Source organism: Homo sapiens, chromosome 2 (genome assembly GCF_000001405.40).
Source record: "Homo sapiens chromosome 2, GRCh38.p14 Primary Assembly".
Lineage (NCBI taxonomy): Eukaryota > Metazoa > Chordata > Mammalia > Primates > Hominidae > Homo > Homo sapiens.
In genome coordinates, this window is record NC_000002.12 from 25969106 (window position 1) to 25982561 (window position 13456).

Sequence of the window (13456 nt, forward strand, 5' to 3'; positions counted from 1 at the left end):
GAGCCACCGCGTCCGGTCAGGAATCATCTATTGGTCATTCCTTACAGCTCCTGGGAGGGAAAGTGACTTGTCCAAGGTCACAGGATTACCAATAACTGAGTATAATTGAGCATTATTATCAACCCTGGATTTTCCTCAATTATTCATTACCTTTAAGCAAATCTTCCAACTAGGCATTAACATATATCTTTTATATGTCCCCCCCGTCTTTTTTAAAACATAGAACCCTGACAAAGGGCTTTTTCCTTTAAAAAATTCAGATTAATTTTTGTTTAATTTTTTAAAAGTGGGTGATGGGTGCACCAAAATCTCAGAAATCACCACTAAAGAACTTATCCATGTAACCAAACACCACCTGTTCCCCCAAAACTTTTGAAAAAATAAAAAAAAGTCCCAGATGACTTTTTAAAGTATTACATGCTTATTGTGAAAAATAAAATAAAAAGGTATAAAGTGAAAAATAAAAATTCCCCTCCATATTAAAATCCCTAGCAATAACCATTATTGCGAGTTCTTATGATTCCTTCCAGAAATTTAAAGAATTTAAAGATGAAGTTAACTATACCTACTGATTTATGTCCTTGGCCATGGTTACTTAAAAAGATTTGTTGGGTTTTTGTTTTTTTTTTTTAAGACAGAGTCTCACTCTATTGCCCAGGCAAGAGAGTGGCGTGATCTTGGCTCACTGCAACCTCTGCCTCCTGGATTCAAGTGATCCTCCCACCTCAGCCTCTGGAGTAGCTGGGACTACAGGCACACGCCACCATGCCCAGCTAATTTTTGTATTTTTGGTAGAGACAGGGTTTCGCTATGTTGGCCAAGATAGTCGTGAATGCCTGGCCTCAAGTGATCTGCCCACCTCGGCCTCCCGAAGTGCTGGGATTACAGGCGTGAGCCACTGCACCCGGCCAAAGATTTGTTGATTATACGAACGAATGGTGCTGGGCTGAGGTTAGAAGCTGGGGGTTTGCATCATACAGAAGGACAAAGATGAGTTAAATATCTCAGGAGACAAGAGTTCCCACTGGGGCTTATTAGTCAGGGATCTGGCATAAATCCTTCCTGTCTGAGCTGGCATTACAGTGTGGAGGTGAAGATCATGGGTTATGGAGTCAGGCAGACATGGGCTCGTAACTCTGGCCCTACCACTTTCTAGGTGTGCGAACTTGGAATGTTCATTCCTTAATGTGCCTCAGTATCCTCACTAGTCAGATGAAGATTCACGCTACCGTGAGGATGAAGCAAAATGATACACATAAAGAACACATCAGAACACATCAGGCCGGGCGCGGTGGCTCACGCCTATAATCCCAGCACTTTGGGAGGCCGAGGCAGGCGGATCAGCTGAGATCAGGAGTTCGGCGCCAGTCTGGTCAACGTGGCAAAACCCTGTCTCTACTAAAAATACAAAAATTAGCCAGGTGTGGTGGTGGCCACTATAATCCCAGCTACTCTGGAGGCTGAGACAGAAGAATTGGTTGAACCCGGGAGGTGGAGGTTGCAGTGAGCCGAGGTCACGCCATCACACTCCAGCCTGGGAAACAAGAGTGAAACTTTGTCTCAAAAAAAAAAAAAAAAAAAAAAAAAGAACACATCAGAGTGGTTGGCATTAAGCACGCATGGAAGAAATGGTAGCTATCATTATTACCACCACTGTTGTTATTTTTCTGCTGGCCCACCTGAAGAAAGGAGAAACCCTGCATGTACATTAGCTAGTGCTATAGAAATAGCTCAGCCCGGCAGGGCATGGTGGCTCATGCCTGTAATCCCAGCTCTTTGGGAGTCCGAGGCGGGTGGATCATGAGGTCAGGAGATCGAGACCACCCTGGCCAACATGGTGAAACCCTGTCTCTATGAAGGAAAAAAAAAAAAAAAAAAAAAAAAGGGCCGGGCACAGTGGCTCATGCCTGTAATCCCAGCACTTTGGGAGGCCGAGGCGGGCGGATCACAAGGTCAGGAGATGGAGACCATCCTGGCTAACATGGTGAAACCCCGTCTTTACTAAAAATACAAAAAATTGGCCTGGCGTGGTGGCGGGTGCCTGTAGTCCCAGCTACTCGGGAGTCTGAGGCAGGAGAATGGTGTGAAGCTGGGAAGCGGAGCTTGCAGTGAGCTGAGATCACGCCACTGCACTCCAGCTTGGGTGACAGAGCAAGACTCTGTCTCAAAAAAAAAAAAAAAAAAAATAGCAGGACGTGGTGGCGCGCACCTGTAGTCCCAGCTACTCAGGAGGCTGAGGCAGGGGAATCGCTTGAACCCGGGAGGCAGAGCTTGCAGTTAGCTGAGATCACGCCACTGTACTCCAGCCTGGTGACAGAGACAGACTACATCTCAAAAAAAAAAAAGAAAAAGAAAAAAGAAATAGCTCAGCCCAGGGCCTGGGACTCTTCTGTTGAGTATATCTGGGAAGAAAGTGAGACAACTAGAAAGTAATTTTTTAGTATGAGGTGGAGTTAATGCCCAGGAACTTCTCAGGATATTAAAAATTCTAGATATACCAAACCACAAGTGTGGGTGTCCTATAAGGTCTGAGCATGAGGGTGTGCCTTGTACAGCCTCTATAGCTGCAGAGCTGGATCTGTGGAAAGAGAGACCATTTTGTTTCATTTTCTTTTTTTGTGAGTTGGGGTCTCGCTCTGTTGTCCAGGCTGGAGTGCGGTGGCAAGATCAAGGCTCACTGAAACCTCGAACTCCTAGGCTCAAGCCATCCTTCCATGTCAGCCTCCTGAGCAGCTAGGACTACAGGCATGCAGTACCATGCCTAGCTTTTTTTTTTTTTTTTTTTTTTTTTTTTACTTTTTTGTAGAGATGGGGTCTGGCTTTGTTGTCCAGTCTGGTCTCAAACTCCTGGCCTCAAGTGATCCTCCTACCTCACCCTCCCAATATACTGGGATTTCAGGCATGAGCCACTGCACCTGGGGAAGCATTTCCTTATTCATTCAAACATGCCACCTGGTTCAGCAGCTCCAGAAGAGGTGCCCCAGACTGGCCAGGCGCAGTGGGCTGGCAGAGAAAAGTGCCCCTCTCTATCTGAATTCCAGGCCTTTCTTCCTAGTCTTCAGAGCACAATGAGAATATTGTCAAAGCCACTTCATCCAATCTTGTGCTCTGCGGAGGCTGGAAATGACTCAGGGCAGTATGATAATACCCTCCTCCAGCCAACACATAGCACGAGAAACCTAACACTGGACCAAAAGGCCTGCTGAGCCTCAATGTCACTTGAAGCCCAGAATCTCATATGGAAATCCATTAGTGTCATATACTTCCCACTAGTCAAATCTTTGTGTTACAAAATGCCCCCAGGACGCAACGATTCTGTTAACTGACCACACCCACCAGGGATGAGAAGGAATACAAGACACTGCTCTCACCAACACCAAGAGGTCATGGACTGTGACCTGGATCCAAACCCAGCCTGGAGTATGGGTCACTTGTTATCTCAAGGCTTCTTTCAAGGGTCTGATCATACAGGACTCAGCTGATCACACAGCCCCACAAATCTCAGAGTGTCTAGCATGGGGCTGGTGTCCTTGGGGACATGTGGATGGAACCAGATCAGCTTTGTGGAAGTCTCTGGAGACTGGAGATAGCCCTATTTGAAGACTAACATTAAGATCAGGACAGTGGAATGATACACAGTATTTCACTCTCTCCACTACAGCACTTCCTCTCCCAATCGAGGTTTCTTCTTCCCAAAAACCCTGTCGTCCACAGCTTTACCCACTCTACCTCCCCACCTCTTTCTCTTTCCCCTCTTTATTGTCCCCCTCTATTTCTCTCTTGCTTTTCTCCTATTATCTCTCTCTTTCTCTCTTCTCTTCTTCCCATTGTCTTTGACTCTTCTCTAACTGGTTATGACAGAGAGCTGAAAAACATCCTCTATTATATTATTGTTTGAATTCATACTACATTAAAATTTAAATCTTCTGGTCTTAATTTTCAGAAAGCTAAATATTTTCTCTTTTACTGTTTAAAAAATAACATTTTAAACAATTAAGGGCCTTTAAGAGAAAGGGATTCTGAAGATCATCTGGTTCAACGGCTTTCCTGATATATCAAGCCCTTAGTGCACCACTGACATTCGGTCTCTCCTTGAACACTTCCAGGGATGGGAGCCCATGACTTTACTGGGGCATGATTGATGTGTAAAAAGCTGTACATATTTAGGTCAGGCACGGTGGCTCATGCCTGTAATCCCAGCACTTTGGGAGGCTGAGGTGGGTGCATCACCTGAGGTCAGGAGCTCAAGACCAGCCCGGACAACATGGTGAAACCCCATCTCTACTAAAAATACAAAACTTAGCCAGGTGTGGTGGCGTGCACCTGTAATCCCAGCTACTTAAGAGGCTGAGGCAGGAGAATTGCTTGAACCCGGGAAGCGGAGGTTGCAGTGAGCTAAGATCGTCCCACTGTACTCCAGCCTGGGCAACAGAGTGAGACTCTGTCTCAAAAAAAAAAAAAAAAAAGCTGTACATATTTAATGTATACAACTCAATGAATTTGGGGACAGGTATACAACCGTGAAATCATCACCACCATCAAGGCCACCTATTTCTTCTTGAAACAGCCCAATTTTAACTGTTAAAGAGATCTTTAAATTAAGCTTAACCTGCTTCCATAATTCGTACTCCCTGGTTACCAGCAACAATCCAGGACACAAAAACAGTGCAATCAGCAGTAGGATAGGGAGGCCCATGTTGATTTCAAAGGAAGGGGTAGAACAGCTGGTGCAGGGTTTTCCTATTGGAGTAACCGGCTTGGGCAGGCAAGATAGAAGAGATGCATTGCAGTCAGACTCTGAAGCGCCTTGAATGCCAAACTAAAATGTGATGTGTTTAATATATCAGGAAGGTGGCCAAGTGAAAACATCTATTAGGTGGTTTGACATAGCAATAATAATTATTTACTTAACACTTGTGTGCCAGAAACTGTGCAAAGTGCTTTATGTTCGTTCTCTTGTTTAATTCTCTTTTTTTCTTTTTTGAGACGGAGTCTCACTCTGTCACCAGGCTGGAGTGCAGTGGTGTGATCTCGGCTCACTGCAACCTCTGCCTCCCGGGTTCAAGTGATTCTCCTGCGTCAGCCTCCTGAGCAGCTGGGACTACAGACGCGCGCCACCAAGCCCACCTAATTTTTGTATTTTTAGTAGAGACGGGGTTTCACCATGTTGTCCAGGCTGGTCTCAGTCTCCTGACCTCGTGATCCACCCACCTCGGCCTCCCAAAGTGCTGGGATTACAGGCATGAGCCACCGCGCCCGGCCTTTTTCTTTTTTTCCTAGAGACAAGGTCTTGCTATATTGCCCAGACTGGTCTTGAATTCCTGGGCTCAAGTGATCCTCCTGCTTCTGTCTCCCAAAGTGCTGGGATTACAGGCATGAGCCACTGCGCCTGGCCCTTGTTTAATTATTTCAATAGCACTGTAACAAAGATACTATTACTATCCCATTTTATAGCTAAGGAAACTGGTACTCAGAGGCCTCAGAACTGGTAAGTCACTAAATCCAGACCTGGCTGACTCTGATGCCCATGCCCTGAACATAGCACTTCATATAATAAGGCCAGCAGAGAGACCAGAGAGGAGACCTCGATCTGGGAGTCATTTACACAGAGGGATAGAGTGTCAAAAATAGAGGGGCAGGGCTGGGCATGGTGACTCATGCCTATAATCCCAGCACTTTGAGAGGCTGAGGCAGGTGGATCACCTGAGGTCAGGAGTTTGAGACCAGCCTGACCAACATGGAGAAACCCCATCTGTACTAAAAATATAAAATTAGCTGGGTGTGGTGGTGCATGCCTGTAATCCCAGCTACTCGGGAGGCTGAGGAAGGAGAATCGCTTGAACCTGGGAGGCAGAGGTTGCGGTGAGCCAAGATCACACCATTCCACTCCAGCCTGGGCAACAAAAGTGAAACTCCATCTCAAAAAAAAAAAAAATGAGACCCAATCTCCATTTCCAGTCTCGGGCTTCTTTCTAAACTCCACTGGCCCAACTCCAGCTGCCCACTGGACTCTGTCACCTCAAATGTGACACATCTACAGCAGCTCCTATCAGTTTTCTTTTCTTTCCTTTTTAAGACAGGGTTCCTCTCTGTCACACAGGCTGGAGTGCAATGGTGCAATCAAGGCTCACTGCAGCCTCAACCTCCTGGGCTCAAGCGATCCTCCCACCTCAGTCTCCTGCGTAGCTGGGACTACAGGTACACACCACCATGCCTGGCTAATTTTTTGTATTTTTTGTCAAGACAGGGTTTCTCCATGTTGTCCAGGCTGGTCTGGAACTCCTGGGCTCAAGGAATCCACCCACCTTGGCTTCCCAAATTGCTGGGATTACAGGTGTGAGCCACTCCTACTCCTATAATTTGCCCAGCCTACTCCTATAATTTTTCAGCACCTCCTCAGGAACCAGTTCCCAACCTGATATTCCTAATTTTTTAAGCCTAAAAGAGCATCAGATTTTGTGTCAAATCCAGCTGGGTTTACATAGTTTTACTATACCAACCATGTGGCCTTGGGAGAGTTATTTCACCTCAATGGAGCTCTGTTTTCTCATCTATAAAACAAGAACAATAAGGCCAGGTGCAGTGGCTCAGGCCTGTAATCCCAGCACTTTGGGAGGCTGAGGCGGGTGGATCATGAGGTCAGGAGATCCAGACCATCTTGGCTAACGTGGTGAAACCCCATCTCTACTAAAAATACAAAAAGTAAGCCGGGCGTGGTGGTGGGCGCCTGTAGTCCCAGCTACTCGGGAGGCTGAGGCAGTAGAATGGCGTGAACTCAGAAGGTGGAGCTTGCAGTGAGCCGAGATCACGCCACTGCACTCCAGCCTGGGCGACAGAGTGAGACTCCGCCTCAAAAAAAAAACAAGAACAATAACAGCACCTTTCTTGGAGGGTGCTCATGTGGAATAAACGAGATAATCTGTATATAGGATAGCACTTGGCACAAAGCAAGTGCTCAGTAAATGTCATTATTATTACTGTTACTGTTGTCGCTCAGGCTTGAAACATTCTCTCTTGCATTTATGGTTAATCCCCCTGCTGAGGGGTGGGAGAAAGCAGGACCCACAAAAGGGACAATACAATTTCAACACAGTTCGCATTCCTCCTTATGACCGCATCCCTCTGGCTTCCGGGGCTGCTTCTGCAGGTTCTCTTTTCTACATTCACCACAGAGAGAGTGGGCTCCAGCCAAGAACCCCAGCTCTTCTCCCTCCAGACCTTCTTATTGGGGATCACATCCGATGCTGTTGTTTCTGTCTTCAATTCGTGCCTGCATTCTGTATCATCTGTACACAAACACTCTTTTTTTCCTTTAAGTAGCTAAAATCAAAGTTTTAGGAATCATCTAGTCCAACTCCTTGAAAAAATTAACTAAGCCAGATGCAGTGGCTCATGCCTGTAATCCCAGCACTTTGGAAGGCTGAGGTGGGCAAATCACAAGGTCAGGAGATCGAGACCAGCCTTGCCAACCTCATGAAACCCCGTCTCTACTAAAAATACAAAAAATTAGCTGGGCATGGTGGTGGGCACCTGTAATCCCAGCTACTAGGGAGGATGAGGCAGGAGAATCCCTTGAACCCGGGAGGCAGGGTTGCAATGAGCTGAGATCGTGCCATTGCACTCCAGCCTCAGCAACAAGAACGAAACTCCATCTCAAAAAAAAAGTTAATTTCAAAATTAAAGCAGTCATTTAAAAATTGTCTTGCATGATTACATTTGAATAAAGTAGGCCTTCTCCCAACCAATCTACGTGTGTTCACCTGTCCTCACTGCAGTATGTATACTGCGCACAAATATTTGGGTTTTCACTGCGCAGTACCAAATATTTGAAGTTTTCACTGTGCATTGTGGGTCTGTGATGTTACCTATTCCTCCTACCTCACAGGCCTAGTATGTTATCAAGCTCCCACCAGCATTTCCCGCCCACACCCTCCCTCCCCCAGACACTACATAAGTATAAATTGCTAATGATTACTGATAAACAGGACACTGATCACAATCACAAACTCTCACACATTTGCACACCCGAACATCCCCTGAGGCCCACAGTAAACATGAAAGGAGGGATGAAATGAGATTCCAAGGAGACAGGCATGGTGTTTGTGCACAGTGAGGGGAGAACAAAGAGAACAGGGAGCCTGGGAGGTGGCAGGCAGGGAGAGCTGGCGAGACAGACTATGAGATGAGTCAGAGAGAGTGAATGAGGGCACTGGGTCGCATCAACTACCACTTAGCTGCCCCCAGAGGGTGGCATGAACTGGAAGAAGGGAATGGGAGCTGGTCAGGGAAGAAGCGGAGTTGATGCCATAACTCAGAAAGGGGGGACAGGAGTGAGCTGCAGATGGGGAGCCTGCCTTCTGAAATCTCCTAGACCTCTCCTGCCTGGCTCTACTCCCAGCAAGCTGCAGGGTTATGGCAAGGCAGCTGGGATGGCAGGGTAAAGAAGAAGTCAAGCTAACAACAAAGATGTCTGTCCTGGAGATCACTGGACCCCAGCTTGGTGGACAGAAGCCACCCCATAGCTGCTAATGCCTTCCATGTATTTGGTGCTTTCAACTTATTTTAAATGCCCTCGTGCTAATGATCTCATTTAATCCTCAACCCTGGGAAATAGGCAGGACTGGGGTTGGTATCTCTAACATGCTCCTCCCCTCTTTACCCTGTAGATTCCTCAAGAGCCCTCAAATTGTTTCCACCAGCCTAGAAACATCCGACACTGAACCAGGCGGTGCCTTGGGGCTATGGGGAACTTGGGTCCTCTGTCTAGGTTCCATTTTGGGTTGCTGGCTGCTGATTGTCCTAGGCTGAGTGTGATGAGAAGTCACAGGGTATGGAATCATTCCTGTTGTGGAATTTCCCAGGCACTCCTCCCCCTTTGCTTCCATCTGAACACCTGGTACATAGTGACTGTTTCACCCACTCCCCAGGGAGCAAGGTCAGGCTTCTCCTCCTCATTAGGTGAATGGAAGCCTGAGGGCTGGAGAGGGAAAGGCGGTTGCCCTGAGTCACACAGTGAGCAAACATGGAGGAATCTGAGATGCCTTGGAAAGAGCACAGGGCTGGGGGCATCAGAAGACCTGGGTTCCAGTCCTGGCTCTGCTGCCTATCACCCAGGGTCACGAGCTGATAAGACACTCACTCCACCTCCCCAGCCTTAGTTTTCATAACTGTTGAATGGAAATAATAGTACCCACCCCTTGGGGTTGTTGGGAGGATCGAATGAGATTAAGATGTCAACGCCTTATATAAAAATGAATTACTCTGATTATCAAGTAGCACAGGTAACATTAGGACTCAAGCAGTGGAAAGAGGCTGGGCTCTTCCATATATAAAGGGGCTAGGCTCTCCTCAACTCACCTGTGTGGCCCTGGGCAAGTCCAGGTCTCAGTTTTCCAAAGCTCCTGCCAACTCTAAGACTGTGATATTTTGTGGGCTATGCCTCTGGTGCAAGAATTCTGGTGCTGGCCGCCCTGATCTCTTGGCCGTTCTATCATCTGTGCCCCATACTGCCTTAGATCCAAGGATCTCACTGAGGGAAACTGGTCAGTTCCCAACAACGGAAACCTTCACCCCATCCCTCAGGCAGCCGAAGTGTGTTATTGCATTTTCCTCCCTTCTTAGCCTTTGTTGCCTTCCAGCTTTCAGGGAGGTGGGGGGTCTTCTTAGCAAAATCAATGGCAGATTGACCAGGTAAGCAAACACTGGATTCCCTCCCTCCTAGGGAGGGCTTCAATCTAACGGCCCTGCCTCTAATATCTTGCTTCTCTCAGGATGTCCCTAAAGGTTCCAGGCCCCTGATCCTTTCCTTGAGGAAACAGCTCAGCATAACTCTTCCTGGGCTCAAAGAAGTGAATTAAATATTAAATATGTAAGGCCAGAGCCCCTGCTGCAGCAGCACATTCCCAAAACAGACAATGGCATACAGCTCATCTGTCACTCTCCCAGTGGCTGTAGGCTGGGCCCCCCTGCTCCCCAGCCCACATTCCTGAGAAGGAATAAGAAATGGCAATATTTTGCTCTTCCCAGCAAGCTCATGGCTTCCTGTGTCCTTCCTTCCACCCCTAGTGTTGAAGGCTCCAGGGGCCTGGAAATGCCTGGAACATTGAGTTGTGGCATCCTCAGCAATGCAACTTAATAGGTCTATGACTGGACAGGGAGGGGCCTCTGTAGTTAGCCCCATTAGAGCCTGGAAGGTCCCGGGGGTGAGGAAACAGCTCAGGAAGGATGCTGAGGTCCTGACATCTCTCAGGGTTATGGGGAATTGGATATTAACTGTGATGAGGCCTCGGGGCAGGGGTCGGTTGGCTTGCTGCTCAGATTAATATAGGCCATAGAATTATCAGATAGGTAGAGCCTCAGAGATCACCCAGGCCAACCCTCTATTTTACAGAAAGGTAAACTGAGGCCTGAGAAAAGAGAGAAGCAACTTACACAAGGCCACTCAATGAGCTGTAGAATGGCTAGGCCAGTCTCTTGGTCTCTGGTATAGAGTTTGGTGCTTTTTCCACCCTACCTCCTGCATAACCCCCAAATCTCTTTCCTAATGATAGCAAGCAATGGCTCCTGCACTGTAAGGCCCAGGGGACCATTTTCCCAGGGAGCAGAATCTGTTCATGGTCCCACTTTGCCCAGCTAAGAACTGAAACAGCATGAGGTCCATGGGTTCCAGCTCAGCTCTGCCACTTCATAGGATGGAACCTTGGTCACGTCACTTCTCCAAGCTTTAATTCCTCACCTCTGAAATGGGGATTTCAGAACTGTGACCCTGGATGGCCAAAGGATCCAATGAGATCATGTATGGATCATATATATGGGGCATTTTTTGAACTGAAGCACTAACCAAATGATATTATTAAAACGACGTGAGGTTTGAAGATGCTGCAGAGGGAGGAAGCCTCAGGGGAGGAGGCTGTGAAGGAACAAGAACCCACATTCACAAGAGGCTGCCTGGCCATCCCACAGACCTGACTGATCCTGAGGCCACCAGCAGGAAATGCCCACAGCAGGTCAGACCACCCCAAGCTCACTGGCTTGAGAGACCGCCTGTCCACGTTGCTTCGTGTGTGTGTGCCTGTGCATGTACCTGGCAGCCCGGTATCACAGCAATTTGCCTGGCTGCTCTGGGGGCACATTTGGCAGGAGGGCAGTGTGCGGTGCTGAGGGAGAACCTCCACTTCAGGCCAGGTCACAGACTCTCAAAGAAGAGCCTCCTTGCCGGGATCCCCTGCGGGGACATCTCGAGTGCCCAGCTCCTCTGGGGCCCTTACCTTGTACTTGGCCGCAAGCAGCTCTGTGGCCTGCTGTTCCCGCCGCAGGTCCTCCAGCATCTTCTCCTTCTCCTCCAGCAGCTTCTGCTTCTCCTCGCTCACCAGGCTGCGGTCATCCTGGATGGCTGCCTTCTCCTCCTCCAGCCGCTCCTTCTGTTCCTGCAGGTAATTCTCCATGTTCTTCTCCAAGGCTGACTCCAGGATGGGCTGGGGCGGGCGGTGGTTGTTGTTGTTGTCATCCTCCTCTTCTGCCACCCAGGCCTCAATCACTGGGCCCTCAGGGTACCCAGGCGGGGCGGACACGGCCTTCTTCCTGCGGCTGCTCTTCCTCCGGGGCCGCTTCCCCAGCATCCCCCTCTTCTCCAGCTGGGCCTTCAGGCGGGCAATCTCCTCTTGGAATTCCCGCAGCAGTGTGTCCTTGGGGTCCTCGTTCACCCGGGGCTTGTTCTTGATGTTCTTGGCTCGGTTGGCAAAGCGCAAGGTGGAGAGGCTCTCATCGTAGCTGTGAGAAGCTGGCCCCAGTGTGGCTACCATGATGGTCTTGGCATTCCCCCCCAGGGAGTCCTGGAGCAGCCGGGTCAGCTTGGAGTCCCGGTAGGGAATGTGGGTGCTCCTGTTGCCCGCCAGGGCAGCAATCACGTTGCCCAGGGCAGATAATGAGAGGTTGATTTTGGAGGCTTCCTTAGGCCTCTCTCCACCAGCACCACCACCACTGCCTCCACCGCCACCACCGCCACCCGAGGATGGTGTGGCTGCCCCTCCCGCTGTGTTGGGGCCTGCCTTGTTCTGCCTCTCGCTGCCAGCCAGGTCCACGAGGTTGAGCTTGCCCACTCGGATGTGGTCCTGGCCATCAGAGCCACGTTCGCTGCACTCCACAGTGATGATGAAGATGGCATGGGAGCGGGAGCTGACCTCATTCATGTGGGTGCTGCCCACAGCCCGGGTCTGGTTCCCCAGGTTCATCACATGCTCAATCTCCTTGACATTCTTGGTGACGAAGGAGGAGAGGTCCTTGATGTAGACGCCAGTCTCGGGGTTCTCTTTCAGCTCTAGCCTCTTGCCCGGCTCCTTGGAGAGCAGGTCTCGAATCTCTTCCTGGTAGATCTCCAAATAGGAGGCCCGGACCAGGTACTGTTGGTTCTGGGAGCGGGAGATGTGGGTGAAGATGTGCTCAAAGGCATTCGGGATGACCCCGCGCAGCTCGGGCTCCACCCAGGTCCCCTGCATGGTATAGGTCTTGCCAGTGCCCGTCTGGCCATAGGCAAACACCGTGCCATTGAAACCCTGGAGCACGGAGTCTATCAGGGGCCTCACGGTTTCGTCATACAGGTCGGCCTGCTTGGAGCTGGCATCATACACGGCGTCAAAGGTGAAGGTCTTGGGCAGCTCCCCCGGGGCGGCGCGGGGGTTCCGCAGGGTCACCTGGCCCAGTTTCACGTCCATGGTCAGGATCTGCTCGTGACCAGCAGCCTCCTCCTTCCTGCTGAGGGGGCGGCACCGGGCCACCACCTTGAGGGCCTCGCTGGCCTTGGTCTTACTGGCCATCTTGCTGCTCTGACCTTCCTGCCCCCGAGCCCCTCCGCAGCCTGGGCGGTCCTGCTATCCTGCTCGCTAGGTCGGGATCAGCGGGGCCGGCCCAGCCCCCAGGCGCAGCTCTTCAATCCGCATGCAGCCTCCTAGGGTGGGGACGCTGGGAGGTGGCCCCAACGCTGCTGCAGTCCGGGCCTCCACCGCTCTCCGGTCCTCTCTGCACCGGCTGGGAGGTGAATTAGGCAGAATCCCCCAGTCGCCGCGGGAGCAGCGCCTGCCGAGCAGCCGTGCCCGGAGCCCGCCCCATGCAGGAGCAGAGGGAGCGCTGCCGTAAACAGCTTCGGCAACAATGAGATAAAGGAAGAGGAAAATGGGATGGGGGTGGGCGGCGAGCTGTCTTCTCCTCCTTCCTCTAGGGATCCATAGCGTGGGCTGCCGGTCGTGGGCGGCCGGGGGTCCCGGGCCTCCCGAGGGCAGAGGCTCACCTGGAGTCCTCCCCCCAAGCTGGGGGATCATTCATTGCAGCCAGCGCGGCTGCTGCTGCCTCTGCCTCCGCCTTCCCCGCCGCCGCCACTGGAGAATGAGAGAGAAAAACAGAAGGGGATGGGGCGGAGCAGCGGCAGCGAGAGTGATGTTGCCGCCGCGCTGCGGCCCCAGCT

The 13456-nt window shown here is 50.3% G+C and overlaps 1 protein-coding gene across 2 annotated transcripts in view, besides 5 other annotated features; it reads right to left on the bottom strand.

Annotated features, from left to right (window-relative positions):
* KIF3C (kinesin family member 3C) overlaps nt 1-13392 on the bottom strand; it is a 55900-nt gene extending 42508 nt beyond the window's left edge. For both annotated transcript variants that reach the window (XM_005264299.4, NM_002254.8), the window contains exon 1: nt 11268-13392. In XM_005264299.4, coding sequence (XP_005264356.2) covers nt 11268-12812 — 1545 coding nt within the window. In that variant the 5' untranslated portion in view covers nt 12813-13392. The remainder of the gene's footprint in view (nt 1-11267) is intronic.
* Nucleotides 10635-11144: an enhancer, noted in NCBI's record as "H3K4me1 hESC enhancer chr2:26202609-26203118 (GRCh37/hg19 assembly coordinates)". NCBI's record gives its function as "activates a minimal SCP1, AML or CMV promoter by ChIP-STARR-seq in naive H9 embryonic stem cells {active_cell/tissue: H9 hESC(naive)}" and the evidence as "EXISTENCE:reporter gene assay evidence [ECO:0000049][PMID:30033119]".
* Nucleotides 11145-11653: an enhancer, noted in NCBI's record as "H3K4me1 hESC enhancer chr2:26203119-26203627 (GRCh37/hg19 assembly coordinates)". NCBI's record gives its function as "activates a minimal SCP1, AML or CMV promoter by ChIP-STARR-seq in naive H9 embryonic stem cells {active_cell/tissue: H9 hESC(naive)}" and the evidence as "EXISTENCE:reporter gene assay evidence [ECO:0000049][PMID:30033119]".
* Nucleotides 12163-12671: an enhancer, noted in NCBI's record as "H3K27ac-H3K4me1 hESC enhancer chr2:26204137-26204645 (GRCh37/hg19 assembly coordinates)". NCBI's record gives its function as "activates a minimal SCP1, AML or CMV promoter by ChIP-STARR-seq in naive H9 embryonic stem cells {active_cell/tissue: H9 hESC(naive)}" and the evidence as "EXISTENCE:reporter gene assay evidence [ECO:0000049][PMID:30033119]".
* Nucleotides 12672-13181: an enhancer, noted in NCBI's record as "H3K27ac-H3K4me1 hESC enhancer chr2:26204646-26205155 (GRCh37/hg19 assembly coordinates)". NCBI's record gives its function as "activates a minimal SCP1, AML or CMV promoter by ChIP-STARR-seq in naive H9 embryonic stem cells {active_cell/tissue: H9 hESC(naive)}" and the evidence as "EXISTENCE:reporter gene assay evidence [ECO:0000049][PMID:30033119]".
* Nucleotides 13171-13330: a silencer, noted in NCBI's record as "silent region_11265". NCBI's record gives its function as "represses an Ori minimal core promoter by ATAC-STARR-seq in GM12878 lymphoblastoid cells {active_cell/tissue: GM12878}" and the evidence as "EXISTENCE:reporter gene assay evidence [ECO:0000049][PMID:35858748]".